At 41.6% G+C, this 14,802-nt stretch overlaps 1 annotated feature.

The window, feature by feature from the left end:
* Positions 1,111–1,612: an enhancer, noted in NCBI's record as "H3K4me1 hESC enhancer chr2:7385571-7386072 (GRCh37/hg19 assembly coordinates)". NCBI's record gives its function as "activates a minimal SCP1, AML or CMV promoter by ChIP-STARR-seq in primed H9 embryonic stem cells {active_cell/tissue: H9 hESC(primed)}" and the evidence as "EXISTENCE:reporter gene assay evidence [ECO:0000049][PMID:30033119]".

Below are 14,802 nucleotides of genomic sequence, written 5' to 3' on the forward strand. Positions count from 1 at the left end.
TCCCTACTGTATCATAATGGCTAATTGGTCATATCCTATGTTATCTTTATGTTATTTTATTTATTTATTGAGACAGAGCCTCACCCTGTCACCCAGGCTGGAGTGCAGTGGTGCAATCTTGGCTCACTGCAACATCCACCTCCTGGGTTCAAGTGATTCTCCTGCCTCAGCCTCCCAAGTGGCTGGGACTATGGGCATGTGCCACCATGCCTGGCTAATTTTTGTATTTTTATTAGAGACGGGGTTTCACCATGTTGGTCAGGCTAGTCTCAAACCACTGACCTCAGGTGATCTGCCTGCCTCAGCCTCCCAAAATGCTGGGATTACAGGTGTGAGCTACTGCACTCGGCCCATATCCTATATTATCTTAAACTTCTTGAAATTCAAGGGACTATAGAGCCCTCATTCATCTCTGTAGCCCCAGAACTTAGAACGATGCCTACCAAATAGCTGGTGCTCAATAAATGCTTGCTAGGTGAGTATAGAGTAACAGAGGCGTGATCCCAAAGAGACCGTCAACTCATTTGCATAATTTCTTTTACCTCTGATATAGTTTCAATGCTCATCCTCTCCACATCTCATGTTGAAATATGACCCTCAGTGTTGGAGGTGGGGCCTTGAGGGAGATGTTTGGGTCACAGAGACAGATCCTTCCTGAAAGGATTGATGCCCTCCCCACAGTAGTGAGAGAGTTCTTACTCTGTTACCTGGAGATCTGGTTGTTAAAAATAATCTGCACCTCCCCACCCCCCCCCCCCACCCTTTGCTCCTTTTCTATGCCAGCTCCACTGCCCTTCTGCCATGAGTCAGAGCTTCCCAATGCCTCTCCAGAAGCCCAGCAGATGCTGGTTCCATGCTTTCTGTACACCCTGCAGAACCATGAGCCACAATAAATCTCTTCTTCATAAATTACCCAGTCTCAGGTATTCCTTTATTACAATCCAACATGGAATAATACAACCTCATTTTGTATACCTGACATTGAACCCAAATTTCCTATGTATGTATGGCTTATCTGCGATAGGATGTAAAAATCAGGAAATTGTGCTGAATGTACTTAAATTTCCAAGATGAGAACAGATGGTGATTTTAAATAGTTATGGGAAGAAATCGATGGAAAAGAAGACAATGGCAAGAAAAGTCGATGCTTTCTCTCTTAGCATAAATCTGGGTGGAGTCATCAGAGACTCCAAAAGTCTTCCTGTTGTTGCTGCTCTGTGTGGACCCAGTTTCTCTCTGCAATCGCTCCACAAGCTGTAGCCAAGGGCTCTGTGACACTCAGTGACATCCACTCCAACTGGCAAAGAGAATGTGACAATCAGGCCTATTTTTAAGCAAAAGTTGAATTCATGTTAAGAGAGTAGGGGATGAGAGAATGAAAGAGAGGAGCTCCTCAGGGGGCTCTGCCCTGAAGAGCCCCATCAGAATGTCCCCGGAGCTCCTTCTGTTCTGGGACACTGACAAGGGCAAGGACGAAAGTGAAGGGCAGTCCTGACGCTGCTGGAGGACTCGGCGCTTTCTCTCCTGATGCTCTTCCACAGTCCAATGCTCTGCATGGGTTTTCTTTGAAAACAGGAAGGGCTCCAGAGCAGGCACAGCCTGTCAATCGTCTGACATTGTCTGGGGGCACTCAGCATCATGGCCACTTTCACACCTTTGGTGAGGACAGTCACTGCTCAGCAACTGGTGTGTGCACGCGCGTGTGTGTGTGTGCATGTGTGTGCGCATGTGTGTGTGCGTGTGTGTATGTACAGGTGAGGGGAGGCAGAAAAGACAAAGGTGAGTCACGCAGGGGAAATGTTTGAGTACAACCCTTGCCATTGGCAGCTTGAATTGACTGAGTTCTGAGTATTGATTAGGGTTTAGAGTGCAGTTTAAAACCTTAGTTTTCCTTTAGCTTAAAGAAATTCTCAAGGCTCACGGAGCAAAATAATAAACAATAACAGATACAATTTTCATTTATTTTTAGCTAGTTTGAGGAACACACCAGAAGAAAAAATGTAATCCTGTCATAGGTAACTTCACACCGAATGAGAAAGTTTTAAAAATTGTGAAAAATAGTCACAATAAGGAAACTGCGGGCCGACTTGTAACGTCAGGGTCATTCAACAGCCTTCTTTCTGATTTCCTCAGTGAGACAGGTTTTCTCCTTGCCTGTGGCCTAGTGTGAGCTGGAGGGGATGTTCTAGCTGAGCCACTTTTTACAGGAAAATTAAAAGGACAGAGGAAGTGGTTGCAGCAAAGGGTCCCCTCTTCTAGGCATCGCGTTGTCTTGGCACAGAGCTCTAGTTTCTGGAGTTTTCTGAGACCCTATTCTGGGTTTGTGGATTTAGCCTGGGTAAAAACAGGCAAAGCTAGTAAAAACAGACAAAGCTAGCAAAACAGCATAGCCATTGCTCAACTGGGCAGGCTAAAGTCATACTCCTTGGTTGCCCCAGAGTTGCCTGTGCCCCCTGGCTCTGATGATGGCACTCTTCCGTGTTGGTGGGTGAGAAACATCGCCCTGGGCACACAGTAAAGGGCCTTCAGCGTAGTTCTGGAGGTGGTCATGTGCACAGGGACCTCAAAAAACATAAACGGTCACACACGCTTTTCTCTTCTCTCTTCTGTGTGGCTCTAAGAGGTGCCTGCCCCCATGAGAAGGGGGCCTAGGGCTCTTGATTTTCCATGGACTTCTTCTGTGTTGTGTCTCAGACAGAAGGGGTCCTGCCCTCTTCCTTGCAGTCCACACATCTATCCTGCTCTCCTTGTTCCATGATCAGACATCAGCGCGTTCTTACTATTTCACATGCACGTGTGCAAGGGGATAGTAGTACAAAGTCATACCTTGACAACTGATCTCACTGTAGTGACAGAACCTGTGTGGTGGTGACAGTGGACAGAAAGACAAGTGTCCGGGCAGGGATCCCCAATACCCTGTGTTTCCTTTGAGGGATGTCCTGTGGGCCCTTGCTGTGTCTGCAGATCCCCTTCTTCCTGCCTCTCTCAGGTGAAGACAGCAGAAGATAAACCTTAGCTCACACCTACTAGGTGATGCGAAGCATAGTTACTTGACAAATGCTTGTTTTCAAATTTAGACTTTCAGCATTTTATCCTGCAGTAATGTTACTGGTATTCCAATAACTTTAAAATTCTTATGCTTTACTGAGATATGACCAATTCTTTTTCTGTCTCTACAATGACATTATTTATGTTAACTAGTGCTTTTTTCCCAGTTGCACTTGTCTGTTTTTCCTAGCACTCCACTGATAAATAAGTTCTATTTCAAATTACTAAATGTCAGAATGCCTTGATAATCCTAGACTCAGACACATACTATCCAATGGTTATATATGACATATGGGTTTCCTTGAATATGGTTGTCTTTTTGGGAGGACCTGATTTTAATGGCAGTGCTGCATGTGCTTCTGAAGCGTGCTCCAACAAGATTCTGCTTTATTTTTAAAATCTATCCTTTCGATTGAAATTTCAGGTGAACTGGCAGAAATCCTTTGCCTTGCAGAGAGAAGGGATAGGATGGATTAGGAGGTTGCTGGCTATACTTTTGTGAGTGGTCAGAATCTGAAAGGCTAAAATTAGGAGTGTTAGTAACTGATCCAAGACATTCCAGCAGGCAAATAGTTAACTACTTCTTATTAAATATCTTCCATGATACATGCTGTGCATGCGCGAGCCCATGGGACATGCTCTAATTGATCCTAACCCATGAGTTAGCCTTATTCTACTTATATGGGTGAGGAAATCCAAGTGTAGAGAGACTACAGGACCTGTCCAAAGTCTCACAGCTAGGACGCTGTACCTGACTGCAGATTTGTTACCATACACTGACTCCTAAGAGAAAAACACTTGGGTAAGCTTGAGGCAGAATGTTTTTAACTATAGTCAGAACTATACTACAGAATTCAGGGTGCCAATCTGAGTTAGAAAAAATGATAACAGCCTTTAAAGAGCCAGACTAGAGATGGGCACAGTGGCTCATGCTTGTAGTCCCAGCACTTTGGGAGACTGAGGCAGGAGGATTGCTTGAGCCAGGAGTTCAAAACCAGCCTAGGAAACAGGACCCCAGATGTGGCAGTAAGACCCCATCTCTACAAAAAATTTAAAAAATTAGCCAGGTATGGTGTCATGAGACTGTAGTCCAGCTACTCAGGAGGCTGAGGTTAGAGGATCACGTGAGCCCAGGAAGTCAAGGCTGCAGTGAGCCATGAGTGCACTACTGCACCCCAGCCTGGGTGACGGAGCAAGATCCTGTCTCAAAAAAGCCAGACTAACCTGCTCTTTAATGAAAATCAAATATTTCTGATACAGTCTGGTAGGATTGCATCAATATATTTGCTTTTCCTTGAGAGAGTATCTGATTATTTTTCTTTGAATGACAGTTATAAATGTAAGAAGAGAAAGTCTTGTGAAATTTTTGTACACTGTGTGTATGTGTGTGTGTATGTGTGTGTGTATTAGAGAAATCCAAACTTGGACACACACACACACACACACATCCATCTATCTATCTATCTATCTATCTATCTATCTATCTATCTATCTATGTATCTATCTATCTATCTATTATATATACATACATATATATGTAGAGAGAGAGAGAGACAGAGAGAGATTATCTTGGGGAAAACTAGGACATAAGGGTCGGGGTAAATTACCTATTTTTGATTTAAAATATTTATTTTTTACCTATTGTTTACATTCTTATACAGTTTGAATTTTTTTCCCCATGCATAACTTTCATTCTGTAAGAAACACTTGGGTGTACATGCATCTTCCTCGTATAACTGTGGAAAAAAGGTAAGTCCCCTGCCTAGCCCTGAGTGGTCCCTGAAGGAACTCTCTGTTCTTTGATCTCATTTGTTCTTACGGTTTATCCAGAAACTAGGCAGTGGCAAACAGGGAGTGGGTTCTTTTCTCTGTGATTAGGGACTGCTCTTTACAGGACAGAACTGGGTGTCCTGGAACTTAGTGGGGACCTGCCTTATGCCATCACCCAGCCAGTTAGCAGAGGCAAGTTCACAGTGGCTCCCCTCAAGAAAGCAGAGGTACACGCTTAAAAAGCATCACTGACACAGTTTATTCAAATAAAGGCAGCACTGTTTTTGTATTTCACAGCACAACACAAACAACGTTCAGTATTGCCGATTCCCAGCTCCTAAACCCCTCTGCTCCTAAAGTCTCTGCTAAAATCTTCCATGTGATATTCTGTAGGCTTAAAATGATGTCTTCCTTTAATCTATTTCTTCTGAACGTTCTCACCAGGTGTATTCATTTTCTTTTCAGCTCCCTTTGAGAGGAATGACCATAGGGGCCCAGGAAGCTCGGTGCAGGTGTGGGCTCCTCTCTAAGAGGGTGTTTGCCATTTCTTTCTCTGAATCTCAGTTTTCTCCTCTGCAATAGGAGAGATATGACCACAGCACTCTCTAAGATCCCTCCTTGGCTTGCAGAGTTGACATCTGTGTTGCAGTTCAGGAAGGAAATTCTAAGGTCAGGCCCCTCACTGTACCATCTCCCAGATCAAGGGGAGTTTCACATGACTCAAGGAAAAGAGGCCACCGCAGATTCATCAAGACATAATGCCCCCAATTTTTCCATTTAGGATGAACTCAAATGCATACGTAATCCAGAATTGTTATGGAGACATCTCATTATCATTGTTGTTATTGATTTTTTTAAGTGTGTTCATCACTCTGCTTCTAAATCCATTACAAAGAACGAATACATATTTAAATATTTATTATTATCCAAGATTGTGGCCACACACTTCCTTATCCTCCCACTTGCATCTGCTCTGTGATTGACTGAACAGATGGGTGTTGCACCCTGTTCTTAAAGCCAAAATACAAGGGCTCTGTGTTTTATACTAAAAGAAACTGTGTAGCAAAGGCAGATAAAGTATATAGTTACGTCATTCCTCTTCTTAGGCCTTTCCTTAGGAGTTGAGCAAGAATTCTGTAGTGTTTTTGACATTTAAAACTATAGTATGTCAAAGAATACAGCCAAGAGAATAATGACTATTGAATTATTTAGGTCTTCCCCTGGGTTTCTTTGCTTCATTTAGCAAAACTATCCACCCAGTCTTCCAAACTAGAAATCTTGTGGTTGTCTCTTTTCTCACCCACCTTGCTAACTTAGTTGGCTATCAACTTCTAAGCATTCTAAATCTGCAATTTTGCTTGAACCTATCCCCCTCTCACCATCCCCACTGCTTCTGTTGTCATCCAGTTCGTTAGCTTGGCTCTTCAGCATCTCTTCCTAATGTCTAACTGTCTATAAAGCAGATAGAGGTACGTAGATGTGTTCTAGGAGCACAGAGGGAGAGAAAGAGCATGTAAGTGCAAGGAGATCTTCAAGAAGACAAAGTAGTTTGAGGGCACAGTCTGTATACATAGGTAAGGGGCAGAGAGAAGCCAACTTCTTATATCCTGCTAGAGAGTTTGGACTTAATCCAACAGGCTAAAGCAAGCCAATAGGGGTTTACTGAAACTACAAGAATCAGAAGATTGCTTCTGTTGTAGAAAGATGGTTCTACTGAGAAAACACAGAAATAACTGAAGGGAAAAATTAATTGTTATACAAGTCCAGATGAGCCATCCTCAGATGCTAAACTATGAAGTGCTGGTGCATTTATAGAAAGGGGAATGGATGAGAAGTTCACCCAGGAAATGGCTATAAAAGATGGAAGGGGCCAGGTGCAATGGCTCTTGCCTGTTAATCCCAGCACTTTGGGAGGCCAAGGTGGGTGGATCACGAGGTCAGGAGATTGAGACCATCCTGGCTCACACGGTGAAACCCTGTCTCTACTAAAAATACAAAAAATTAGCCGGGCGTGGTGGTGGGTGCCTGTAGTCCCAGCTACTCGGGAGGCTGAGGCAGGAGAACGGTGTGAACCCAGCAGGTGGAGCTTGCAGTGAGCTGAGATCGCACCACTGCATTCCAGCCTGGGTGACAGAGAGAGACTCTGTCTCAAAAAAAAAAAAAAAAAAAAAAAGGAAGGAAAGCAAGACAGGACAGGAGCATTAGGCTGATGTCTAGGTTTCTCATTTGAAAGACTGGGTTGATATTGGTGCCAGAACAGGAGTAAGGAATACAGAAGTCCAAGAAGAGAAGAAGCAGAATAAAAGGGGGAGGGATGATGAGTAGTTTTAAAACTGTTGGGTGTTAATTACTCGTGGAATTATCCAGGGAAAGATGTTTAGTGAGCAGTAGATAGTTGCTATGGTTTTGAATGTCCCCTCCAAGACTCTTATTGAAACTTAACTTCTATTGTGATGGCATGAAGAGTTGAGACCATTAAGAGGTGACTTGGCCATGAGAGCTCCTCCCTCATGAATGGGCTGATGCTGTTATCATGGAAATAGGTTGATTAGCACCAGAGTGAGTTGTTATAAAAGGGAATTCGGACCTCTCTGTCTCATACTCATTCTTTCTTGGCCTTCCACCATCTGCCATGGGAAACACAGCATGAAGGCCCTCATCAGATGCCAGAGCCATACTCTTGAACTTCCCAGCCTTCAGAACCATATGCCAAATACATTTCTATTTATTATAAATTACTCAGTCTGAGACATTCTGTTGTAGCAACATAAAAAACTAAGAAAATAATTATTATAAGTTTTATTGATTAAGAAGTAGTAATCTTATCTACTAAAATTAAAAATGTGCATGTATATTACTTGGAAATCCACTTCTAGGCATGCTACCCTAGAGAAATATTCTCACATGTGCAATTAAGGAAATGTAAGTTGATTTTATTGAAGCATTATTGTAGTACAGAAAGTTGTAAACATTCTGACTGTTCCTGAATAGAGGAATGATTAAATAAAATGTAGTCTATTACTATGATAAAATGATGTATATGGTAAAAAGGAATACAATGTTTTGCTGGTAATTTTTTAATGATTAGCCTCCTAGAAAAGCAAACATAACCCTGATTTGTAGCCTTCCCTAATTTCAGAGGTATAAATATTCCCACCCTGGCCAATTTCAACCTACCTAAGTGACAACACTGATTTTGCGGTTGCAAAGAGATGCACACAAAAGGCTTTTACCAGCCAGTGCAAACAAACTTCAGCACGGTGCTAAGAATGAATTATTTTTCATATCAGTGCAGATAGCTCTCAAAATATTGATGTTGAATAATAAATACAAATACTATGTGTTCTCAAAGGCCTTTGTAATAAAAGTATTCCCAATTAAAAATAAGTCCAAGTGTGGTGGCTCCCATCTGTAATCCCAGCACTTTGGGAGGCCAAGGTGGAAGGATTTCTTGAGTCCTGGAGTTCAAGACCAGCCTGGGCAACACAGTTACGCCCCATCTCTACAAACAAAAACAAAAACAAAAACAAAAACAAAGCAAAACAAAAATTAGCCAGATTTGGTGGAATGTGCCTGGGGTCCCAGTTACTCAGGAGGCTGAGGTAGGAGGATCACTTGAGCCCAGGAGGTCAAGACTTGCAGTGAGCAATGATTGAGCCACTGCACTCTAGCCTGGGTGACAGAGTGAGACCCTATCTCAAAATACTACTACCACTACTACTAATAAAACCCTCTGGAAAGAGAAACACCAGACTTCAACACAAAAGTTTCCTCTGAGGATGCAGGAGGAAGGGAAGTGAAGAGCACAAGTACTATTGGATATTGTAGTCTTTGATGTAGAAAGCTTTTTTAAGGAATGTTTTGGCACTAAAGGAAGGTACAGTTATTTTAAGGAAGATAAGAATTACTTTATTAAAATTATTTCTAAAGCAAAACAAATACACATACAATGGCACACCAAAAATATAGGCAATTTTTTTTTGTTATTTTATTTTTAAAATTCTGGAAAGGAAACCACCCCTTGTGTGGTCTGCAGTGTTGGGGAGCAGTGAGGAGTGAATGGGATTCATGGATGAAGGTTAAGAGTAGATAAAAGGGCCTAGTTTCAGTTGTTCAAATTTGATCCTTTTTACACTAAAGCATTTGCATCCTGAACCTCAAAGTCTGGCTATGTAGTTTTCTCCAAAGTTTTCTTGCTTTTTTTCTGCCATCTAACCAGAGAGTGTTTCTTGTTTACCTAGCTATCCCACAGGGGAATAAAAAAATGAGTGAAGGTGATTTTAAAATTAAAATATACTTTTAAAACAATGATGTTATGGACTAAATGATTGTATTACCCCAAATTCATATGTGGAAGACCTAACCCCCAATGTGATGGTATTTGGAAGAAGAGCCTTTGGAAAGTAATTAGGTTTAGATGAGGTTGTGAGGGTGGGGATCCAGTGATGAGATTACTGTTCTTGTAAGAAGAGACCAGAGAGCTTTTCCTCTCTCTCCCTGTCTCTCTTTCTCCACTATGTGAGGATATAGCAGGAAAATGGCAGTCTGCAAGCCAGAAAAAGAGTTTTCACTGGGGAATCACGTCTCCAACCTCTAGAACTGTGAGATACAAATGTCGATTGTTGAAGCTACCCAATCTATGTTATTTTGTTACAGCAGCCTGAACAGACTAAGATAAATAGCTAATGTTAAAGAAAGAAATTTGAGAAATGTCAAATGCTAAACCCTGAAGACCTAAAATTGGGTGCAATCTAACCTTGACAATGTCTTCAGAAAGGCCCATTATATAGAACAGGAAATGCTGTGTTTTATTTTATTCTATGGGAGTACCTAGAGTTTTGCAATTCAGTTCTCCTAATTGTTTCACTAAGGGAGAGAAGGAAGAGATCATGGAACAGTATCATTGAGATCTAGGAAACTGGATTATAGCAATTAGAGGAAGTTATCCTGTGGATTGGCAAATCTGAACATTTCCTTAGGAGACAACTGGGCCATCTGCTTCATGGGCGAGCATAAAGAATCAGATTGGGAGAGTGAGTTCCTTAGGTAACCCCACAGTGTGGTAGCAGAAATAGGGCTAGCCTTCTCCTTACACTGGCCAAGTATGGTAGAAGGGCTAGAAGGAAGGAAATTGGATTAAAAAAGAAAAGAGGCATAAGGAGATATTTAAAAACATATCTACCTTATATAATGGGCTGAAAGTTATTTATAGTCAGGTTCCCATGCCCTTGTCACTTCCAGCTATCCTGTGTGAGTCCTCCTTTTCTACTTAGAAATCCCCATGATATTAGGTGATCCTTGTCCTGAAAAAGCTACATCTGCCTCCATAGTGCCCTCTATTTGGAATCCTGCCCCAAGTAGAAACTCCAGATCTCTGTGTCCACAAGCAGCCATTCATCACAGCTGATGAAAATCCATTCTGTTGTGCTTTCCATCCTTCCACATTCTTCAAGACTGGACAGATGGAGGCCCAGCACCTAAAGTTTTGCTGACTGTGATGCATGAACTAAGCAGAGAAAGGGACTAAGAACTTAGGAAAGAACCAAGGGCAACTGCCTTTTCATAGATAAACAGAGTAACTCTTTTGACTCATTACCATTTAGCATGGTGGAATTCAATGTAATAAATAATTACTGGACATCTATTACATAGTAAATAGAACATGGTGTCTACTATGAAGAGTGGTGAACACATGCAATTTTTATAACGTAGCTAGGATGAAATAAAGGCTTCATCAGAGGTTCATCAAAAGGACTTCAGAAATAAAAGGAACTAAATAATTGTAACTTTGGGAACTGGAGAAGGTTGTTTGGTAGAAACGGCGTTGAGCAAAACCAGCAAGACAGGCAGGAATTCATCAGGTGGAGTAGAGCAAGAGGAGATTAGGAATTCTATGCAATGGCTGCTTGTAGGTGAAGCATTCACCTTGAGCTAACTCTTGAACACTGAATTGACACACAGAAAAAGACCACTCAATCCTATCAACTTAGTGGAAAAGAACAGTTGAACCAACAGTTTGGCAAAAAAAGACAAAAGAACCAGCTGATTTACCAAATTTTGTGCTATCTTTCAAGTTATTGCCTCGTGTTATACACATTCGGGCATAATCTACCTCAAAAGGTCTATTGTTCTGAGGAGCGGCAGATTTCCCTTTGCAAAAATAAGACAAAACAGGTTTCTGTTTGTTTGTGTGGGCAGCTTGGGATATTACAAAAAAGCAATACAATAGAGAGAAATTGCCATTCAGAGATGTGATATGGCTCATTTTTAACTGTTTTCAGTGAAGTGGATGGAAAAGTGTCGGGATTGTCTTTGCCAGCAGGGAGCACGTTACAGGGTCACTAACATCACTGTTTACCTGAGCAGATGCTGAAAGCACCGCATCTTCAGGACTCTTAATCTTTTCCAACCGAGCAAAATGTTCAGCATGAACTTTTAAATATAGTGACACCTTGTGTGTCCAATCTGCTGAAATTTGCAGCAGGAAACCAGTAATGGGGAAAGCTGTGAAGGTTTGCAGTGATTAAATGCTGCCAAGAGTCCGCATTTTCTTCAGGAAAGTAAAGATGGTTGACTTGGCAATTGACAAGCAGACATGATGGGGTATATTTTGCAATGCATAATTATATCTGGATTATTTGGAAGGAGAAACCAAAGTTAAGGCTTGAAACTGTGATGTTTCCAGTGGCAAACTGAATTTTTGAAAAATCTTTTTTTTAAACTAATGATATTAATCAACAGATATGTAATCATCACACTGTGATACAAACTCTATTTTAGAATTCTTTACAAATAGTATAATGAACAGAATTCCTGTTATAATTTATTTATATGATATTATAGAATTCCTATTATAGTTTATTTCTGTTATTCCCAGAATCTTTAATAAATCATAAATTTACACGTATATATACATACACACACATACACATATATGTAAAACTGAAGTATATATATTTTCCTTGCTCCACCGGGGAGGCTGATGTAACAATGAGTGATTATACTGCTCATTTGCTGGTAATATTTCTAGGGAATATTAAGGGAAGGCTAGTTTGTTTCAACTGGAATATTTAAAGCATCTATCATGAGAATAATGATACAGAAAGGAATATTATCCCTTTCTTCAGTATTTTCACAGTGTAGGGAGATGAGAAAGAATTGATAAGGCCTATTGAATGAAGTTTGGTAGCTGCAATGATCAAATTATATCCAGAACTACGGGAACATGGAGGAGGGACAGCTGATCAGACTGGGATTCCGTAAGGGATTTCTGTGAGATGTGTTGTCCATATTTAGTCGTCTTCTTCCCGATTTAAGCTCTTTATATCCCTAGAGCCTGGTAATATTTTAAATAAATGAACAATTGTTGAATGGGTAAATATATATGAAACTCTTTGGTGACTCATCCTGCTTTATAAAAATGTCAATTGTTTCTATAATGGGTAGTGGCAATATTTGTGGCTTTGCCGATCTCTTGCTGTGCAATCACTTAAAAGTGACTTTTTAAATGATTAAAAGTCATTTAATCTCTCTGTGCTTCAGTTTCCTTAAATGACAAATGAAATGTTAATGTAGATAACTTGAAAAGGACTTTCATATATGTAAAATGTGGAACGTCTCATTTTAAGAAGTAAATATGTAGTCAAGTTCCACATAAATAAAACATAATTGTGTTTTGAAAATCACACAGAGTGAGGTTTCAATAAATTACATGAAGAATTATGTCTGCAGATACAAGACTACAGTAGCAACATGATTAATCTGCCACTCCCTAAAACAAATTTCCCATTTTCTTACAAGTATGCCTATTTCATCTGTGTTTGTATTGAAAGACAGAACCTCAGCTACACCAAATAAAGACAAAATGTTTTCAGTTATTCAAAATGACTCTTCAGCAAGATGATATTGATGCATTCATTTTATTAAGCTTATTGGAATTTGTATTTGTTGTTTTATAGAGAGGATTTCACCCTGTCACCCAGGCCGGAGTGCAGTAATGTGATCATAGCTCACTGCAGCCTCAAACTCCCAGACTCAAGCAATCCTCCTGCCTCAGCCTCCCAAGTAGCTGGGACTACAGGCATGGACCATCATGACTGGTTCATTTTTTAAAAGTTTTGTAGATAGTCTTGCTATGTTGCCCAGATTGGTCTTGAACTCCTGGGCTCAAGTGACCTTTTCACCTTGGCCTCCCAAAGTGCTGGAATTATAGGCGTGGGCCTCTGTGTCTGGCAGCTTCTCGGAATCTTTAGATGGAAGATGCCATGCAAATACAATTACAGATTTGATATTGAGCAATAAATTAAGAGCTACCTGACAAAGTAACCCAGAAAACATTCATGTGACCCTCCTGTGATGTTTGCCTGGAAAGCCCAAACTTTGCTGGGTCTCAGAACATCCGGGCCTGGAGCCCCTCCACCCACACACTCCCTATCCTGCCTGCTTCAGCCCAGGGGGGTGCCTGCAATGCTCCTGAAATCCTCCTCATGTGGAGGACCCTGGATTTTTTCCCACCTGCAGCTCACCCATGAGAGATTGCAAAGAGGTGCATGCCTCTGTTCATAGCTGTTTTCGCCTTGCCTGTTCACTTGGAATTAATGACAATGAGAAATGAATGCTCTCCTTGGAACTCTCAGTGGCACCTCTTCCCAGCAGAGTGTCCTGAGCAAGCTCCTGAGCCACTCTGGTCTTTAGTCATCTTCTGCAGACTGAGATAGAATCTCCCTGCCAGTTTGTTACGTAGATAACATGAGAACATGTATGTTAAAATGCTACAGAATGCTTTAGACTGGTGAGGTGTTACTGACAACACTAAGGAGATCAGGGGAAGGGAAGCACTGTTGGAGTTTCTCGGATGTGTCTGTTCCTGTGTTGGGGTTGTACATGGGGAATGGACATTGTTATCCTCACCGTGTGCTTGAGAAAAGGCTCAGAGAAGTTACATAACTTCTCCAAGTGTATCATCAGGATGTGGTGGAGATAGTACTTGTATCTTGTCTTTCTTACACCACCCCACTGATTTTTCCAACAGTAGTGATGCTTATCTTCAATCCAATCCATGAGGGTTGTAAATGTTAGATTTTCCTTAAGCTCACCCCCACCATCTTTAAAAAACAGTGTTATTATTTCAACTTATTCATGATTTCTCTTTGAATATAATTGATTTTTTTAGTGTTGACAGTACCTTAGAAATCACAAAATCATCTAACACCGTTAGTTTGTAACAAATTAACCTGAACTTTTTGTTGTTGGTGTTGTTTTCCCCAAGGTGGTAGATCAGAGGTTTTCAGCATGCCTCTGCCACTTGGAAATAGCAAGATGGTACATAAAGATCAACTCTGTGAGCTTTAATCCAAGAAGGAAATCAGGAGTCCACCAGAATCGCAAAGGACAACCCAGATCCCCAGGAGGAGAACCCGGCAAACAGTCCCTGTGATGGCATCTGCCAGATGAAAGTGAGCGAAGCCTCAGTACGAGAGAAATGCCGGGAGCCTCCCTCTGTGACTCACCTTTCCACTGGGCATTGGAGCAACACAGGCCAAGGGAGAGCATTTTGTTTCTACCAAGCTCTGGAGGTAACCTGGGGAGAGGCTTGGAGCGCTGTGAGGGACAGACACTGGGAAAAGCTGCAAACCTTTTCCCAGACCCGGAAACCAAGTGCAGGATACCATTTTGAATCCAGGTACGCACAAAGTTAGTTGTTCCTTGGCGGCTCGCATTTTAGTCTTCAGTCAAGGTTTGCAGTGTCTGCTCTGGGATGGGGTAGGGACCTCCACAGTCAGAATTGTGGAACACACCTCAGCAGTAGGCGCTGGAACTTTGCTCTCCTCTGTTGCAAGCCTGAGGCAGCAGGAGAGCAGCTACATCTGTAGCTTCTCCTGGGTGGTAAGACTTGCAGCCAGGTCCAGCTTGGTGACCTGGAACTGCTCTGCGTGTGCCCCAGCCTGCTGTCCTGATATTATGGTGCAGTGGGACCCTCTCTGC

This window comes from Homo sapiens, chromosome 2, assembly GCF_000001405.40.
Source record: "Homo sapiens chromosome 2, GRCh38.p14 Primary Assembly".
Lineage (NCBI taxonomy): Eukaryota > Metazoa > Chordata > Mammalia > Primates > Hominidae > Homo > Homo sapiens.